The 20,752-nt window shown below is 35.8% G+C and overlaps 2 protein-coding genes across 3 annotated transcripts in view; both read right to left on the bottom strand.

Moving 5' to 3' along the window:
- DIAPH2 (diaphanous related formin 2) overlaps window positions 1-20,752 on the bottom strand; it is a 920,156-nt gene that overhangs the window by 701,989 nt on the left and 197,415 nt on the right. The window lies entirely within an intron of this gene.
- RPA4 (replication protein A4) lies at window positions 17,542-19,101 on the bottom strand. The gene has a single exon (NM_013347.4). It carries the CDS (start codon window positions 18,696-18,698, stop codon window positions 17,913-17,915), a length of 786 nt encoding a protein of 261 aa, NP_037479.1. The 5' UTR covers window positions 18,699-19,101; the 3' UTR covers window positions 17,542-17,912.

Here is a 20,752-nt window from a genome sequence, read left to right as displayed (position 1 = left end):
GAGTGTGATAGCTACGTAGACAAAGATCAAAGAAATTTAATGTTCACAGACATTTTTAGCACAAGATAACTGAAACCAAACCTAAAAAGAAAATCATTTTCTTGGGTCCTCAATGTAGATGTCAAAAACATTTTAGCAAGTCCAAATGTTCTTTTTCCTCAGAATGTTATCTGTAACAGGTACTGCTTTAGTCTTTTCTTGTTTTTATATAATATTTTAAAATCCATTCCTCCTAATGCTGAGAAAGATACCGTGGAGATTATATGTTCTTCAGTGTGCACATACATACATTCTTAACCATGGTTAAATATGTGTTTTTTTAAATTTATATTTATTTTTATTGACAAATAAAAACGGTATATATTTATACTGTACAACATGATGTTTTGACACATGCATACACTGTGAAATGGGTAAATCAAAGTAATTAACGCAGGAATTACCTCACATACTTGATTTTATTTGTTATGAGAACACTTAAAAATCTCCTCTCTCAGGACCAACAAGAAGATACTACAATCCTGCATTTATATGCACCTAACACTGGAGCTCCCAGATTTATAAAACAATTACTACTAGACCTAAGAAATGAAATAGACAGCAACATAGTGAGTGGGAGAGTTCAATATTCCACTGACAGCACGAGACAGACCATCAAGACAGAAAGTCAACAAAGAAACAATAGACATAAACTGTATCCTAGAACAAATGTACTTAACAGAAATCTACAGAACATTCTTCCCAACAACTGCATAATATACATTCTTCGCATCAGCACATGGAATATTCTCCAAGACAGACCATCTGATAGACCACAAAACAAGTTTCAATAAATTTAAGAAACTCAAAATCAGATCAAGCATCTTCTCAGAACACAATGGAATAAAACTGGAAATCAACTGCAAAAGGAACCCTCAAAGCTATGCAAATACATGGAAATTAGTCTGGTTTTGAATGATTTTTGGGTTAACAATGAAACTAAGATGGAAATTTAAAACTTATTTGAAAAGAATGGTACTAGTGACACACGTTATCAAAACCTCTGTTATATGGCAAAAGCAGTGCTAAGAGGAAAGTTTACAGTGCTAAATGTCTATATCAAAAAGTCTGAAAGAGCACAAATTGACAACCTAATGTCACACCTCAAGTAACTAGAGAAACAAGAACAAACAAAGGCCGGGCGCAGTAGCTCACACCTGTAATCCCAGAACTTTCGGAGGCCAAGGCGGGCAGATCACTTGAGGCCAGGAGTTCGAGACCAGCCTGGCCAACATGGTGAAACCCTGTCTCTACTAAAAATACAAAAATTAGTTGGGCATGGTGGTGCATGCCTGTAGTCCCAGCTACTTGGGAGGCTGAGGCACTAGAATCGCTTGAACCTGGGAGGTGGAGGTTGCAGCACTGAGCCGAGATTGAACCACTGTACTCCAGCCTGGGTGCCCTTGTCTCAAAAAAAAAAAAAAAAAAAAAAAAAAACAGAAAGAAAAGAACAAACAAAATCCAAAAAGCTAGAAGAAGAAAAGAAATAGCAAAGATCAGAGCAGAACTAAATGAAATTCAAACAACAAAAAAAAATACAAAAGATTAAAAAAACAAAAAGCTGGTTCTTTGAAAAGATAAAATTGATAGACTATTAGCGAGATTAATTAAAGAAAGAAGAGAGAAGATGCAAATAACCTCAATTAGAAATGAAACTGGAGACATTATAACTGATACCACAGAAATACAAAAGATCATTCAAGACTACTATGAAGACCTTTACACACGAAAACTAGAAAATCTAGAGGAAATGGATAAATTCCTGGAAACATACAGCCCTCCTAGATTAAATCAGGAATAAACACAAACTCTGAACAGACCAGTAACAAGCAAGGAAATAGAATCAGTAATAAAAAAAAATTGTCAACAAGAAAAACTCCAGGACCAGATGGACTCACAACTGAATTCTACCAGACATTCAAAGAAAAATTTTTTACCAATCCTTCTGAAACTATTCCAAAAGAGAAAGAGGGAATCCTCTCTGAATCCTTCTATGAAGCCAGTATCACCGTAATACCAAAACTAGGAAAGGACGTAACAAAAAAGAAAACTGCAGACCAATATCCCTGGTGAACATTGATGCAAAAATCCCCAACAAAATACTAGCTAACTGAATCCAACAGCATATCAAAAACATAATATATCGGAATCAAGTGGGTTTCATCCCAGGGATGAATAGTTTAGCAAGAATAGTTTAGCATAAGCAAGTCAATAGATGTGATAAATCACATAAACAGAATTAAAAACAAAAACCATATCATCATCTCAATAGATGCAGAAAGAGCATTTGATAAAATCCACCATCCCTTTATGATAAAAATCCTCAAGAACCGAGGCACAGAAGGGACTTCCCTCAAAGTAATAAAAGCCATATATGACCAACCCAAAGCCAACATCATACTGAATGGGTAAAAGTTGAAAGCAACAAGACAAGGATGCCTACTTTCACCATTTCTATTTAACATAGTACTGGAAGCCCCAGCCAGAGCAATCAGGCAAGAGAAAGAAATAAAGAGCATCCAAATTGGAAAAGAGGAAATCAAACTGTTACTGTTTGCTGATGATATGATTGCATACCAAGAAAACCCTAAAGACTCATCCAAAAGGCTCCTAGATCTGATAAATGAATTCAGTAAAGTCTCAGGTTACAAAATCAATGTACACAAATCAGTGGCACCAAGCAGACAGTCAAATGAAGAACTCGACCCTCTTTACAACAGCTGCAAAACGAAAACAAATAAACAAACAAAAAAGCACTCAGGAATATACTTAACCAAGGAGGCAAAATATCTCTATAAGGAAAACTACGAAACACTGCTGAAAGAAATCACAGATAACACAAACACATGGAACCACATCCCATGCTCATGGAAGGGTAGAACCAATATTGTGAAAATGACCATGCTGCCAAACAGGCTGGTTCAATATACGCAAGTCAATAAATGTAATCGAGCATATAAACAGAACCAAAGACAAAAACCACGATTATCTCAATAGATGCAGAAAAGGCCTTTGACAAAATTCAACAACACTTCATGCTAAAAACTCTCAATAAATTAGGTACTGATGGGACTTATCTCAAAACAATAAGAGCTATCTATGACAAACCCACAGCCAATATCATACTGAATGGGCAAAAACTGGAAGCATTCCCTTTGAAAACTGGCACAAGACAGGGATGCCCTCTCTCACCACTCCTATTCAACATAGTGTTGGAAGTTCTGGCCAGGGCAATTAGGCAGGAGAAGGAAATAAAGGGTATTCAATTAGGAAAAGAGGAAATCAAATTGTCCCTGTTTGCAGACGACATGATTGTACATCTAGAAAACCCCATTGTCTCAGCCCAAAATCTCCTTAAGCTGATAAGCAACTTCAGCAAAGTCTCAGGATACAAAATCAATGTACAAAAATCACAAGCATTCTTATACACCAAAAACAGACGAACAGAGAGCCAAATCATGAGTGAACTCCCATTCACAATTGCCTCAAAGAGAAGAAAATACCTAGGAATCCAACTTACAAGGGATGTGAAGGACCTCTTCAAGGAGAACTACAAACCACTGCTCAATGAAATAAAAGAGGATACAAACAAATGGAAGAACATTCCATGCTCATGGGTAGGAAGAATCAGTATCGTGAAAATGGCCATACTGCCCAAGGTAATTTACAGATTCAATGCCATCCCCATCAAGCTACCAATGACTTTCTTCACAGGATTGGAAAAAACTACTTTAAAGTTCATATGGAACCAAAAAAGAGCCCACATCGCCAAGTCAATCCTAAGCCAAAAGAACAAAGCTGGAGGCATCACGCTACCTGACTTCAAACTATACTACAAGCCTACAGTAACCAAAAGAGCATGGTACTGGTACCAAAACAGAGATATAGATCAACGGAACAGAACAGAGCCCTCGGAAATAATGCCGCATATCTACAACTATCTGATCTTTGACAAACCTGAGAAAAACAAGCAATGGGGAAAGGATTCCCTATTTAATAAATGGTGCTGGGAAAACTGGTTAGCCATATGTAGAAAGCTGAAACTGGATCCCTTCCTTACACCTTATACAAAAATTAATTCAAGATGGATTAAAGACTTAAACGTTAGACCTAAAACCATAAAAACCCTAGAAGAAAACCTAGGCATTACCATTCAGGACATAGGCATGGGCAAGGACTTCGTGTCTAAAACACCAAAAGCAATGGCAACAAAAGACAAAATTGACAAATGGGATCTAATTAAACTAAAGAGCTTCTGCACAGCAAAAGAACTACCATCAGAGTGAACAGGCAACCTACAAAATGGGAGAAAATTTTCGCAACCTACTCGTCTGACAAAGGGCTAATATCCAGAATCTACAATGAACTCAAACAAATTTACAAGAAAAAAAACAAACAACCCCATCAAAAAGTGGGCGAAGGACATGAACAGACACTTCTCAAAAGAAGACATTTATGCAGCCAAAAGACACATGAATAAATGCTCACCATCACTGGCCATCAGAGAAACGAAAATCAAAACCACAATGAGATACCATCTCACACCAGTTAGAATGGCAATCATTAAAAAGTCAGGAAACAACAGGTGCTGGAGAGGATGTGGAGAAATAGGAACACTTTTACACTGTTGGTGGGACTGTAAACTGGTTCAACCATTGCGGAAGTCAGTGTGGCGATTCCTCAGGGATCTAGAACTAGAAATACCATTTGACCCAGCCATCCCATTACTGGGTATATACCCAAAGGACTATAAATCATGCTGCTATAAAGACACATGCACACGTATGTTTATTGCGGCACTATTCACAATAGCAAAGACTTGGAACCAACCCAAATGTCCATCAATGATAGACTGGATTAAGAAAATGTGGCACATATACACCATGGAATACTATGCAGCCATAAAAAATGATGAGTTCATGTCCTTTGTAGGGACATGGATGAAATTGGAAATCATCATTCTCAGTAAACTATCGCAAGAACAAAAAACCAAACACTGCATATTCTCACTCATAGGTGGGAATTGAACAATGAGAACACATGGACACAGGAAGGGGAACATCACACTCTGGGGACTGTTGTGGGGTGGGGGGAGGGGGGAGGGATAGCTTTAGGAGATATACCTAATGCTAAATGACGAGTTAATGGGTGCAGCACACCAGCATGGCACATGTATACATATGTAACTAACCTGCACATTGTGCACATGTACCCTAAAACTTAAAGTATAATAATAATAAAATAAAATTTAAAAAAATTGAAAAAAAATTTTTTTTAATTGTTTAACATTTGCCTACAAATAACTTGGATTTTTAAAAACTGGATCTCAATTTTACAGTCAGTTTTACATAATCATGCCTTATATTAACTAACCTAAATTCAGCAACTGGGTTTTACTTTTTGATTACTACCTTTTCTTATATGATCTAAAAAAATCTTCTTGATTTGCTTCACTATTCACTTTGCAACTTTAATTTTGTAAGACTTATGCAACTTTGACTTTGTAAGACTTATGCAACTTTGACTTTGTAAAACTTGGAATAAACTAAGACCTGTTTGAAAAAAAAAAGCTATCTATAAATTCATTGCAACTTCCATCAAAATACCATCATTACTCAAAGTAAGTGGGCGGATGTTGGGAGGTGGGTGAGAGATAAAAGACTACATATTGGGTACAATGAATGTACACTGCTTGGGTGATGTCTGCACTAAAATCTCAGAATTCAACACTATAGAACTCATCCATGTAACCAAAAGCCACCTGTACCCCCAAAACTATTGAAATTTTAAAAATAATCTTTTAAAAATTTCTTCTCTTAGCAATTTTCAAGTATACAATATATTGGTATTAACTACAGTCGCCATGATGTACGATGAATCTCTTGAACTTACACCTTCTGTTTAAATGAAATTTTGTATCCTTTGACCAACATAAATACAACGAATATTCAAAATCCTTAATAATCCCCCACTAAACAACTTGTTAAGGCTTTTATCCAAGACAAAATAAGCCAAATCTGCTATTATTTTTCTTATATTATAGTGAAATAAACCATCTAAAGCAATAACAACACAAAAATAACAAATATATACATGACATACAAACAAAGCATTTGTAGGACTAAATGCAGTATAAAGTCCCTAAGAGATATCAGCCTTCTGTTATTGTCAACCTGACTTGTACCTATTTTCAGAAAACTCTAGAAATATAGCTACACCTAAAAGATATGCATTTATCCTTGCTAAAGCTTTTCAAACATATAAATGCTTTGTAAAGAAAGCACGTCTTAATTGCTGAAATAACTTTGGCCTTATTCAAAATAACAAAGACTCTCTTTTTAATTGGAACAGTTAAAAGCCAAAACAAACAAATAATTTTAATTAAAAACATGGATTTTTCTTCATTTACAAACAAACCTCCATGAAAGAACTCACACCAATAAGAGTAGCTTTTCTGGTTGTGAAATAAAATAAGTTACTCCATTTTGTAGATGAAGAAACTAAAGAAGGTTAGTGACTTATCTTAGAATACAGAGCTTCCTAATAGTAAAACAATAGAATCCAGCACTTCTCAATTCTTATATACTCTCATTAAACTATATTATCAACAACATAAAAATCATTAATTAGAGGTTACAAGATTTTATTTTCCTTTCATGAACAAATATTGGATAAAAGTTAATATATTAAAAATATCACCAATGGTTATATGTAGAAGTAAAAACAATACCAATGAGGTGGTTTTCATCTTTTTAATTATTAATTTTGGGTTGCATCATCAAGGCACAGGATACTTTAGATAATAAAAACATCAGAGATGTCCAAAAAATATACTTTCTTTCTGTTTTCCATGTACCAATAGATAAAATACTGAGCCCTATCATATTACAATTTATGACTATTGGCTGTAGACATGTCAATGATATATACCTGTAAATACCCACTTCAAAAAATGTAGTAACTATTAGTTGGTATTTGGTCTGACACAAAATACTTCACAAATATTAGGAATCAGTTTGAAAAAATAAAGCCACTCGCCTTTCATTTGGGAATAACAGTCCTTGGTAACCCTTCCTTGCTTCCATACTCAACATGAAAGACATTGGTCAGCCATTTTGGGGTTGCTTCCTACTAACTTCCTTGACTTCATTATCCTTTTGCACTTTACCTTATTCACTTTGGTTATACTGAATTTTCAATAAACCCAGTAACTATGTTTTGCCAGACCAATCACTTCCTCTATCAATTTTTGTCTCCAAATGGAGTGAGGCCTGAGCTAGATTATTGCCAATGGAAATGTAAAAGCCATTTAGATATCACAAGTGAAAAAATGAGCAAATGTGACATACGAGGAATATCAAAGATGCTAAATCATACACACAAGGATCAGAGCCAAGATCCTGAATGCATGGATGAGTTTTCTAAGACAAAGAATATACTAAGGATTATTATTTTAAATAGTGGAACATTATTATGTGATTCCAAATCAGCTGTGAGTTCACAGATTAATAAGCCCAATATCATGCTTATATAGACCTCTGCAGTATGTGTCCAGCATAATGCTTGTAATCTCCACAGTGCTATTTGATAATTCACATTTATCTAATATCCTTTATATCAATATGATTCAGAACTTTCCAGTCACGTATTTTAAAAACCAGTCTGGACCAGGCATAGTGGCTCACGCTTGTAGTCCCCGTATTTTGGGAGGCCGAGGCAGGTGGATTACCTGAGGTTGGGAGTTTGAGAACAGCCTGGCCAACACGGGGAAACCCCATCTCTACGAAAAATAGAAAAAATTAGCCAGGTGTGGTGGCGCACGCCAGTAATCCCATCTACTTGGAAGGCTGAGGCAGGAGAATCGCTTGAACCCAGGAGGCAGAGGTTGCAGTGAGCCGAGATTGCGCCACTACACTCCAGCCTGGGCAACAGAGCCAGACTCCATCTCAAAACAAACAAATAAACTAAAAAAAAAAAAAAAAAAAAAAAAAAAAATTAAGAAAAACTAATCTGTATATGCGATTTTTTCCTGCTCCCCAAATGAACTCCTCTATAGCGATTTATTCTTAACTTTTATCATTCCAACTTTCTAAGCACATTGTGAAATGCAATAAGGTGAATACTTGAATCAAACTATGGTCATCAGCAAATTAAGACACATGATTTCAACAGATAAATCATTATAATTTGCAAACAATACAAAAATGGTAACAGAAACCAAAATTAATGATAAACCCACATAATAACCCATCTCCTTCCCAGGAGAAAGCAACATCATTGCTCATCAAGCACATAAACTGACAGAAAAGTTTTTGAAGATCCAAAGCATATCACAAGGTCAGAGAATACCCCCAGCTTGATGTCCCACACCACTTACACTTAAAGTATTATACCATCTTAATAAATGCTCATAATGCGAACCTCAAAGGCACTATAAAATTCTTAAGCATTCTCTATATCGAAGAAAAATTCATTAATACTTAATATAGTTTTAGTGCTGTATCCACTTCAAGATATTCTTTGACAGATATTAATTCACATATGGAAATTTATAACTCAATTTTTAAAAATGTGTTTAACTACAGCACTCCAATCTTCAATAGTTTTTGATGAATAAATGTTGAACGTACCAATTTAAGATATGATCTCCAGGAAATTCTTTTGGAAGCTGGTATCAAGGGAAGTATGGTACCACATAAAAGAAAAAAAAAAAAACTGTAGCAGTACTCAGTACTCAGGCAATATCCTCCAAAATAGAAATAGAGTCAATCTGCATATGTTCAATAACACTGGATGCTGCAGAACTGACCTAACAGGAGTAGGTTGATTTCGGGTATATGAAAGGCTTGAAATTCATATTCATATAAGAGGTCACCAAAACTGTCTCATTTGAAGATGTTTTAGTTTTTAGAAGTACTATAACATTATGTTATCTTCTATATTCTGCCTTCATGGATTCCATCTTAACAGAAGATTCCAGGTTTAAACTGCCTGGTGTGAGAGGCTATACACTTACAGCTTTGCTGACCAGGTGGCAAATCTCCCCAAATTAGCTGTCCATTATCTACCACCAGTCGAACAGCTGGGGTCATAGAGCAAATACTGTTATCTAGTGCACATGGATCTTCTTTCAATCAACTATACAGACTACTTGCACTCCAGGTGCCAGCTGGCATCTTAATTGTGAGTTGTCAGCTATCCAACTTCTATCAAAAGTCCAGCTGAGATGATAGACAGTCCAAGGGGAGAGCCTCAGGGGCATTTCTCAAGTACACCTTGGTAGCAGGTTAGATTACTAGAAAGCTGCATTCCAGTACTATTATTCCTGGTCATTGTAGAAATATCATAACCTTGATTTTTTTACTTTTTGGCTAAATGCAGGAAATGGACATTCATAGAAATCTTCTGTACTTTATGGAAAACTATCAAGGACTCATTCTACTGTTGTTGTCCAATATCCCTCATTTAAAGAACCACAAAATAAAATGAGTTCAGAATTAGGAAGAATGACCCTCCTGAAAAACAAACAAACAACAACACAAAAGAGATGCAATGTCGTTTATCAGGTAACAGCTATGTCTCTCTTTTTATTGAGAGACTTTTACTGAGAGACAGAACTGTTTACCTGATAAACACCCCCCGACCCCTCTCCACTCCACACAAAGAAACTTGGATCTACATTATACTCAAATCATTACCTGACATTGTCCTAAGTTTTTGGAAAAGTTCCACCTCCTTTCCTCATTTAATTGGAGCTTGGCATTTTTACCTTTGTCTTACGGAAGTAGAATATCTGCTTCTTTTATTTTAAGCTGCAACTACTTTTACAATATTCTCAAAATAATGAGAGAAGTATTAAAACTCTAGTATGTGCCCAAGACCTTTAGTTAAATTAGTTCATATAACTCGAAATAAATATATTTCAAATGACATATTTATAAGCATTTTCTTCCCAAGACTAATTTTGAATAAGTAGAAAATGCATATAAGTGTTTTAAGAGGGAAGTTAGGCTTCTACTCAGAAATCCATATAATCAGTGTGCCTAGATTCTGCTGCTAGATTATACATACCTTTATATGACCAGTTACATGTTTCTAATTATTTTAGATGATTATTATATAAAAATTGGCTTTCTAGTTTAAAACACATCATTTAAACGAGAAAATGTATTGCCTTGGTGGAGCTTACATAGTAATAAAATAAATCCAACACAAGAACCACTATTTATCCTAATGCCTGTAGCATTTTCTCCTAATAATACTTCAAAAACTCGAGTATTTGCTGTGCCTAATTCTTTTTTAAAATAATGTATGACACATAAATCTACTTTGCTTCTATTAAGAGGTAATATCATTGCATGTGCCGAAGTCAGAATTATGTTTTGAAGCTAATAGTATATAATTAAAATTTCCATGTCACTTAATATATATGGTATCAACTTAGTCAAATGAGCCTGAATATACTTGATACGAATTTGAATTGTTGACCAAGATTTTAACAAAAGGCATATAAATTGACAACTGCAATGAGTTTACCATTTCGTATTGTATGTATAAATATACTAGTGCTATTCTAAAATGATTTATGGATTTGAAAGTGAAAGCAAAGAAGTTCCAAATACCAATATTTAAAAACCTGCTTTAGTAATACCGCACATAATGCTGCTTTATGAGATGTGCTCACAATTTTAAGCCGTGTTCACATTTCTACATTGTAAAAAGTATCCTTATTATTCCATCTTTCATAGTTAGTCCCCTGCAAAATGTTCTAAGAGTATTGATCTGTACCTACCTTTATATTAACTTTCTAAGTACTGTTGGCCGCTTTGCCAAGCTTTTAATAAGTTTAATACAGGTTGTTTAAATACTTATTAAGACCTACAATTCAGAAAGTGCTTTCTAGTCCTAATTTGTATTGTTGTCAAGATCCATCTATTTTCATTATGATTATGTTAAAATGCACATTTGTAAATACACTAGAAAAATATGTTTAAATCTAAAGGGAAGATAGCATCAAATAAACACAAATATTCCAGAGGTAATGCAAATAACTGCACATGTATCAACTTGAAAAGATATTTTATGTTTTCACTGGCTTGGAAATATTGGCTGAGGAAGCTATCATCATAGGATGTGAATACAGACACTATGCCATGAGTTTGGCAGATAAGTGGATCCCAACCAAACAGAAAAAACAATTTCCTCGTGGGGTAAAATACCCCTAAAGCTGTGAGGCAATTTCAGCAACAACTCTAACAAGAATTCTAGGCAATCACAATTCTGTGATACTATTCTTCAAAGCAATATTTGCTGTTTTTGTCATGTGCTGGGAAACCTTAGTGACAATGATCTATTGCTACGTATTTCTTTGGATCTTCATAAAATGTATTGCCAAATACCTATACATCTTGCAATGAATTGGCTGGGAATAAAACTGTCCAAACTCATTGGTCATTTCTCAGCAGGCACTGCTTCCTTTCATAAACTTTAGTAAAGAGATATGAACAAAAATCTCTAAATAACAGAGTCCTCATTCTAAATCACACATAGACCATGGTATGTGCAAAGTCTAATGCAATTTGTGATGGCAGATTGGGATTTACTTTACGGTCAAAGCACATGGATTTTTAGAGTGTTAAATAGAGTTGTAAACATTCAATTTCATTAATTCACCATGCAACTGTAACAAGGCTATTGTGTAAAGCATGCTATGTTGTCTGTGGATTGTGAATATGATTCAAACCAAGGTTTCATTCTTATGTGGAAGAAGTTAGCTTCATTCTTTTTCTGATTACAGCTAAAAATGCATGGCCACAAAATAGTGCCGATTAATGCAAATTCATTCCCACTGGTGGAGAAGCATAGGTTTTTATTGATGGTGGGTCAATAACTACATCAAATCACACATTAGTATATATAAATTACACAGTACCAGCCACCACGAGACAAATAAGAGGGTAAGAGGGTCCCTTCCCCAGAGGAGACTAAAATCTAAATGAGAAAAACAGACATGCATGCATGAAACTATTACAGAGTATAAACAGACACAGGTAAATGTATATAGTAAAAAATAAATGTTGAGGGAAATGTACAGTAACAGAGTGATCTGAGATAGGACCAGTTAATGAGGGCTTATAAAAGGGATTTTTAAGTATTTGCTTTAGCAGAAAATAATATACCAAAATGACTTTCTTAGAGCCTTTATCACCTGAGTGATTAAATACCATGTGAATTTGAAATTCATGACCCCACTTAATATTCCAAAATGACTGTTTTGAGGATGTTTGGTAAAACTGTTAGTATGTATACGTATGTGTGTGTGTGTACACTTATTTATATATATTTTTAAATTTTACGAGGGGCTGAACAAAAAGAAACCAATTAAAACTGTGGTAGGGAGGAGAATTACCCACGAGAGGACAACGGTGTGGGTTCTAATGAACACCAGGTTTCAAAAACAGTTATGCAACAGAGTTTTAGGAACTGCTTTCATCCGTATTTAAAGGAAATTATAAATATCTGTCTGGGGGTGGTTAAATACATTTATAAATACAAAAAATAATGAAACATTAGGAAATCCTCTAGCCTTATAGAGGAACATTCTTCTCACTCTTCAAAATAATACCTAAACACTAATCTAGTTCCAATAGCAAAGGTAAGAGGATTAAAACTAAGCAAAAGAAAATACAGAACACAGAGGCTTAGAGCTGGAAGGCTCCAATCCCATTTACATATCAAGAAACTGAGGACCAAAGAGGTCCATTGACTGGACCAAGGTCACCACAGAGGAGTGATCAAGAACTAGAATGATTTATCATATTGTCACAGGATCCTGGGGTGTCACTTCACCAGCTAGAAACCTCTGTGGCCAGTGGCACCTTCTGCCTGAGTAATGTACAACATGTTCTCCCTGCTTCCACCCAGGGCTATCCTTTAAAAATGTAGGTCATCTCATGCCATTCCATTCCTCAAAACTCTCTAACAGTGTCCCAGCTCACTCAAAGTAAAAGCCAAAGTCCTTTGAATGGTCAATAAGGCTCTACATTATCTGCTTCCAGCATGCTAGCCTCCTTGACATTCCTAGAACATGCCAAGCATGCTCCCATCTTTGGTATTTGCTGTTGCTGTTTTCCGTTTCTAACAACATTACTCCTCCAGTGAACATAGGTCACTGCCATACTTCCTTTAGACCTCTGTGCAAATGTCATTAAAGTCAGGGAGGCTTTCACTGATCATCTAATATAAAATAGCAACATCTCCTCCTCAGCTCATATTACAACCTGATATTTGATGTACACCTTTAAAAAAATTGTCTGAATTCCTGTACTGGAATGTAAGCTCCATATATATAAGCCCCATATGGACAAGGGGAATTTAGTTTTGTTATTCCTTTGTAGGATTATCCATGTGATATGTAAAAACAAACCACATAATATTAAGTGCTATTTATTGAACTTCTCCAATTTAAGGTATTACCAAAGGAAATTAACTCTTAATGTTAAAAAATTGTTTTCGTAATTTATCACATGATGGCAAATTGGAATAAATATCATAGAGATGGTGTTAGAATTACTAGAAGTATCATCCACAATGGATAGGGCAAAGAAGTCCCAATTTACACACAGCTATGTGATCAGAAAAAAAAATAGGCTTTTCAATACACTGATATATATTCTTAAGATATTATATTGCAAAAACTACATGCATAGATTTAGAGAAAATGTAGAATTTCAGACGATCTTTTAAATCAATGAAAATATAGGCCCAAATGGTATTACGATATCATAAAAAAACTCCCAAGTTATTCAACTAAGTTCTCTACCACAGCAAAAAATAATGTTTTGTCTCTTAAGCTGATAGATGAGTACAAAGGTGTTTTTATATTATCTTCTACACATTTGCTGAAAGTTTTCATAGTTTCTTTTTCATTTAAATCAGACAAATATTAATGAAAGAAAGTCAAAATATTCAGTATGTGATGACAGTGAAAGAATACTAACAACAGTGAAAGAATACTATTTTAATAGACTTTCCTTATTGTGACACTGTACAAACCAGTTGTTAAAGGCCTAGGCTCTCGAGAGATACAAAGCCTGGGTTTAAATCTTAACACTGACACTTGCTGGGCATGCAACTTTAATATGGCGCAAATTACTTAACCTCTCTGAGCCTCAAGTTCATCTACAAAATACGAACAATACTGTTATCCTGATTGTATATGTACATTTAAAGGTCTTAAAACATTGCACAGGGGTAGTAAATGCCATATACATACTAATATATACACAGATATATATATATCTGTATATACATGGTAATATATATATAGATATATATATCTGTGTATATATATAGATATATATAGATATATATATCTGTATATATATAGATATATATATCTGTGTATATATATAGATATATATATCTGTATGTATATATATAGATATATGTATCTGTGTGTACATATATAGAGATATATATCTGTGTTATATATATATATAAAAAACACATATCACACATAATTTTTCATTATTTTTTAATGTATTAAAAATGCCTATATGTCATCCAATAAGACATTTGGAGATGGAGTCTCAATTTCAAAAGAGAGGTCTGGCCAGGTGGGTGGCTCACACTTGTAATCCCAGCACTCTGGGAGGCCGAGGCAGGCGGATCACGAGGTCAGGAGTTTGAGACCAGCCTGGCCAACATGGCGAAACCCCGTCTTTACTAAAAATATAAAAATTAGCCAGGCATGGTGGCGGGCACCTGTAATCCCAGCTAGTCAGGAGGCTGAGGCAGGAGAATCACTTGAACCTGGGAGGCAGAGGTTGCAGTGAGCCGAGATTGTGACATTGCACTCCAGCCTGGGCCACAAGAGCAAGACTCTGTCTCAAAAAAAAAAAGAGAGAGAGAAACAGAGAGGTCTGAGCTGAAAACGTAAATCTACGCATCACAGGGATCATACATACACATACACACACACACATACACACACACACATACACACACGCACAACACATACACACAACTCCTACTCTTAGAACAGTACTTGGGAGATAATAAATACTAAATAAATGTTAAAATGTTAACTATTACTATCTTTAATAAGCATTTCAGAAGTCAATAAAATTTAAGCTTATCAAAATTAAAGTTAACACTTAAATGCATATAGTAGGAACTCAATAAAGGTTTCAGGAACAAACATAATTCTTGCTAGTTACATTTTTTAAATTGCTGTTATAAAAAGTAAACAGAAATTGAAAAAATATAAGAACTTATGTTTTTCAGCTTCTACTCCAAATATTACTAAATTTAGTAGGTAAAAGTAACAAAATGATCACTAATAATTATGACCATAGTAAGATTATTATATTGGCCTTGAAAACACTTTCAAATATATTTATTCATAGTTAATTTAGAATCAACCTCAATATAAATACATACATTTCGTAAGCCTGTGAGCCATAGGAAAAAACCTTGGGTGGATTATAATCATCAATTATGTTTTTCAGGTTCCTCAGGCTTAAATGTCCCTGCCCAAAATAGTCAATAGTATGTCCCCAGGATTTGTATCTTATCCTCAAAAGGTGTGGCTAACTATCAGGGCAGGACCTTGGAGAAAGGGGATATTAGCCAAGTCATTCCCAGTCTAAACAAAATTGAAAAAGTATGCATGCCAGGTGGGTGTTCAAAATGAACTTTAAAAATCTGCTACCTTTAACATGGACTAAATATACATGTATAAAACAATCCAGTGATTTTCTGCCTAAAAGTGTTTTATTTCCACTGACATTATATCTAGACCTACTTACTATTTTTCCACTGCTATCTCTTACCTGCAGCAGAATCCACTAAAGCACACGATTCCATTCAGAAGAATAAGCGTTGGGAGGAGTAATTTTAAAAGCCTAAAAAAACCCCAACGAACACAGATAGAGGACATTTCCCCTCACAGGATGGGAGAGAGGTTGGTCTTCTGCCTTAAATTCAGGTGTACATATCTCAGTGTATCAGTTTGCAGGGACAAAAGCAGTTTGGCCTCCCAAACAAAAAAAAAAGAGTTTTTTTCCCCCTCCGCATGCTCCTAGTATAGGAAAAACAAGTGGCTACGCATCCACTGGCCAGCTGAATCAGCTCAAGCAATTATGGGAGTGACCTATAATTATACTCATAAATATCAGATTTTAATGTCACAAAAGAATATTGTATCTGCTAGACTCTTTCAGCTCCACAATTCCAAGTATATATGCCCCTTGTTGCCTCTCCCCCAGTATGATTTTCCCTAGGACAGGTAACCTTTTTCAACAAAAAGTGGTTCCGAATATTTTAGGTTTATGAAGACCAGAATTTTCAAAATGTCTGATAATTTAAGTAACAGGTTTATAGTATGTTATTCATCTGTGCTTTTCAAGAGTGCCATTTACAATTTCTTTACTTTCAAGGGGAAGAAAAATATGCATCACAAAGCTTAAGCAAGAATTAGTGGTTTTTCTAATGGCCACTGACACAGGCCATTTTCTGAAAGTTTTCCTGAAAGTACGGAGTACTGGCAATGTTCCATTTAAGAGATTTTTTTTTTGTTGCAGTTTTCATGATTCAATTTGACAAATAATGTTCTTCTATTTGTATATTATATATGAATATACATATATAAAATATAACATATATTCATTAAAAAGTATATGTTTTTTATTTCCTCTAATGTAAAAAAATTAGCATCTTGAAAGACACCATCTTTAGTGTATAGGTAACTGAGGGCTTTCGTTAATGGTCAATTATTTAAAAGTCTCACATAATTTATATAATCTACACTAAAATGTATTGTTAGAACTAGGCTATAGCATATGTTCTGGGTATTTTATATATAGAAAAGAAAAAATTCTGGATAAGTGAAACTATTAATCCTCAAGGATATAAAACAAAAAGGCTTTTTCAAATGTACTTAGAAAAAAAAATCACACAGGAAAGTTAAGATTTTGTAAACTACTTTAATAAAACATTTGAATAAATTTGTGTTAAACTCAGTAAGTTTCATATTCCTATGAGCTGTTTCCCTAACGTCCTAAAAATTACCTTTTTATACATAAAACAGAGCATTTAGTAAAATAAATAATACACCAGCACATCAAACTTACAGAAACTCTGGCATCCATTTACCATACAACTACAATAAATTGTAATTTCATCCAAATACCACATCATATATGAAATAATCATTGAACTTCACCACATTTTAAAAAATTTCAAAGATAACCTGGCAAAAATGGTTTATTTAAACACAGTATAATCTTATTTTAAGAAAACATAAATTCATAGTAATAAGAGCAAATCACACATAAATGTTTGAACTGAGCATTAGAATTCACAAATTAGTATCTTCAGCTCATTTGAATTAATCAAATACTAAATACTATATTGAGCAAGAGATAACAGTATCATTATAATAAGCTAAATCCAAACACGGAAAATAAGTCTAACATAAAAACAAGCAAGACTTTTTTTTTTTTTTTTTTTTTTTTTGTCTTTTCGCTGGCTCCCTGACTGCAACTAGTTTTTCTTTTGGAAAAAGAAGCTCCAACACAATTAAATAATAAATTTCTACATTTTCTGTAGTTTTTCTTCCCCGAAAATCATGTTTCCATTAGCTTGCTAGTAAATCCTACAGAGTTGTCAATTTATCCATCACCGTCTCTCTCTGAGCTTCAAATACAGAAAATCCGAAAAGTTCAAAGCAGTTAGAAAAGCAGCGAGTTGACAAAGAATGCCACTTGAGATTTTTTTTTTTAGTCCTACTTCCTAAAAAGTCAACAGGTCAAAATTACTCACAGCTGGATGCAAGGGTCTTCGAAAAATGAAAGGATGTTTTCCCTGCCTCAATCAGCAGACTTAAAATGCTCCCGATCCACAGTGGGATAGATGTGGCCCTCAACGGTCAGATAATCAATCGCTTCCTTGATGGCCTTGACGCTAAGGTCGCAGAGCTGAGCCCGGAGCTCATGGATGCTCTTCCCTTCCTGATGAGGACACTCATGAATCAAACGCAGCACTTCGTCCTGGATGAAATTGCGGTGACTCTCATCGTTATCCCCAGCATCATTCACTTCTGATGGAGACACAGGCACACTTTCTACAGTGGTATCACGACGGGCTTTATCCAGCATCATGTGTGCATTGACCGTTTCCAGAATATGCACGGTGAACTCGTTCATGTCCTCTAGGACATGAATTTTCAATACCTCAAGGCTCTTTGTTCCCGTGGGACATTTGAGGATACCAAACACTTTGACATATACTCCGACTGACAATGGAGTCACCTGCTTGACTTTCTCTCTACCAAACCACTGTCGGGCCTCGATTGGTTTCGCGGTCATATCATCAATTTTGTAACAAATGTGATTTGAAGCCTTCTCTGCCCCTCTGATTACCCCCACGATGGAGACCTGGGAAACTATAATTCCCCTAACCTTGAACACAGGGTCAAACACAGTAGAGCTGAGAAGCTGGTTCACATTACACGGTACAACGTCCTGAATTCGGACCTTAGGTCTTTGGGTCTTAATAGCAGGAGTTGCATCTCTCTCACACAGTTGGTCACTGCCTCCACTCGCTCCATCAGCAGCAGAAATGCTGCCATAGCTCCCAAACCCACTCTTACTCATCTTCAAGACAGCTCAGGCTGAGGAGAAGGTGGGCTTTGGCTCGTCTGGGGCTCCACGGACGGCTTTGAGTTCTCCACAGAAGGCTTCGAGCTCTCCACAGAAGGCTTCGAGCTGTCCGAAAGGCTACGATTGAATGCTGGGAGGCTGAGGACGTGACAAGCGTCACGCTACCTGTGGACCAATCAACTACCAGAATGCATCTGCTTCCAGCCAGTCAGGGTCGGCCACCTTCTCACCTGATCGCATAATCCTTCCCTGTGTGTCAGTGGTTGCTACATTCTAAAAGTCCCACACGAGGGGAGCCCTGTTGCTTAGCTGGTCAAAGCGCCTATCTATTAAAAGTCCCACGTGTAATTTCAAGCAAGCCTTTCCCAACATCTCTATAAAAATGCATTTTTACTAGCCCCCCTCTTTATTTCTTAATGCTGCAACTTCTACAATTACTTTTAAAAGACTCATTTATTCATTCATTCAAACAACAATGCAACAGAAATTTTAGGAGCACAAAGTGCTTGGCAAAACGGTAGAGTGCTGTACGTTACGTGCAGGGGGGAAAAATGCACCACCGTAGTTACTGTTCTCAAGAACTCACGTCCCCTGTTCATTCAAACCATTAAAACTAGGAGCATCAGGCCGGGCGCAGTGGCTCACGCCTGTAATCCCAGAACTTTGGGAGGCTGAGGCAGGTTGATTACTTGAGGTCAGGAGTTCGAGACTAGCCTGCCAACGTGGTGAAATCCCGTCTCTACTAAAAATACTAAAATTAGCCAGGCGTGGTGGTGCAGGCTTGTAATCCCAGCTACTCGGGAGGCTGAGGCAGGAGAATCGCTTGAACCCAGGAGGCAGAGGTTGCAGTGAACCGAGACAGCACCACTGCACTCCAGCCTCGGTGACAAGAACAAAACTCCGTCTCAAAAAAAAAAACAAAAAACAAAAAACAAAAAACCTAGGAGCATTTTGGAAGAAATGGCAAGACAATCGTCTTTCAACGATTATCATACTCTAAGATAAGTCACATCTTAACACTGGCTTTTAAAAAATTTTTTGTTGTTTTAAAATTGTAATTTTCTGGGCATTTTGCCAAGTGCACTATAAATAAGTAATTAATATATTTCAATTTATACATAAATCCAAACTGAATGACTGAGCTCTAAATTATTTTCAAGGCTCTGTGGACAGGACAGAAAAGTACAAGACTTAGACCTATTATATATTAGGAAAAACATGGATAAAATCACAGTAAGTTTTTTATATACTCTTATGGAGTAAATTCTGAACTTAAGATTCTAGTAGTTACATAAATAGATCCCGGATTTTTGTTTTTTTGTTTTTTTTTTTTTTTTTTTTTTTTGGAGACAGGGTCTCGCTCTGTCTCCCAGGTTGGAGTGCAGTGGCGGGATATGGGCTCACTGCAACCTCCACCTCCCGGGCTGAGGTGATCCTCCCACCTCAGCCTCGTGAATACCTGGGACCACAGGCGCACATCACCACACCTGGCTGACTTTTTTGTATTTTTGGTAGAGACGGGGTTTCACCATGTTGGCCAGGCTGGTCTCGAACTCCTGGACTCAAGCGATCCACTTGCCTCAGCCCCCTGAAGTGCAGGGATTATAGGTGTGAGCCCCCACGCCCGGCCAAGAATGTTTTGATATTTTATTGAAATTTTATTTTTCTTTATAAAACATTTTATTTTGGGTGTTATTGATTTAAAGGCTTAATAAAGGAACCACAGTTACTGGAATCCACCATTGGCAAGTAACCTAATAACAATCCTTTGTAGTTAGTTAATAGCCTAAATTAGTAGAGTTTTGAGAAGTTTATTAATGCTCTCACTTCTTTTACTGGTTAAAATAATTCACTTTTTGCTATCTCAAAATTACAGAAATATGTGAAGAGTATATCTAAAACTTATAGAAGAACATAAAGTTATATATACCTTTCAAGTTTTAAAAGAATAAAATCGGCCGGGCGCGGTGGCTCACACCTGTAATCCCAGCACTTTAGAAGACCAAGGCAGGTGGATCACGAGATCAAGAGTTCGAGACCAGCCTGGC

The sequence above is a fragment of the Homo sapiens genome, chromosome X (assembly GCF_000001405.40).
Source record: "Homo sapiens chromosome X, GRCh38.p14 Primary Assembly".
Lineage (NCBI taxonomy): Eukaryota > Metazoa > Chordata > Mammalia > Primates > Hominidae > Homo > Homo sapiens.
This window is presented reverse-complemented; position numbering and strand designations above follow the sequence as displayed.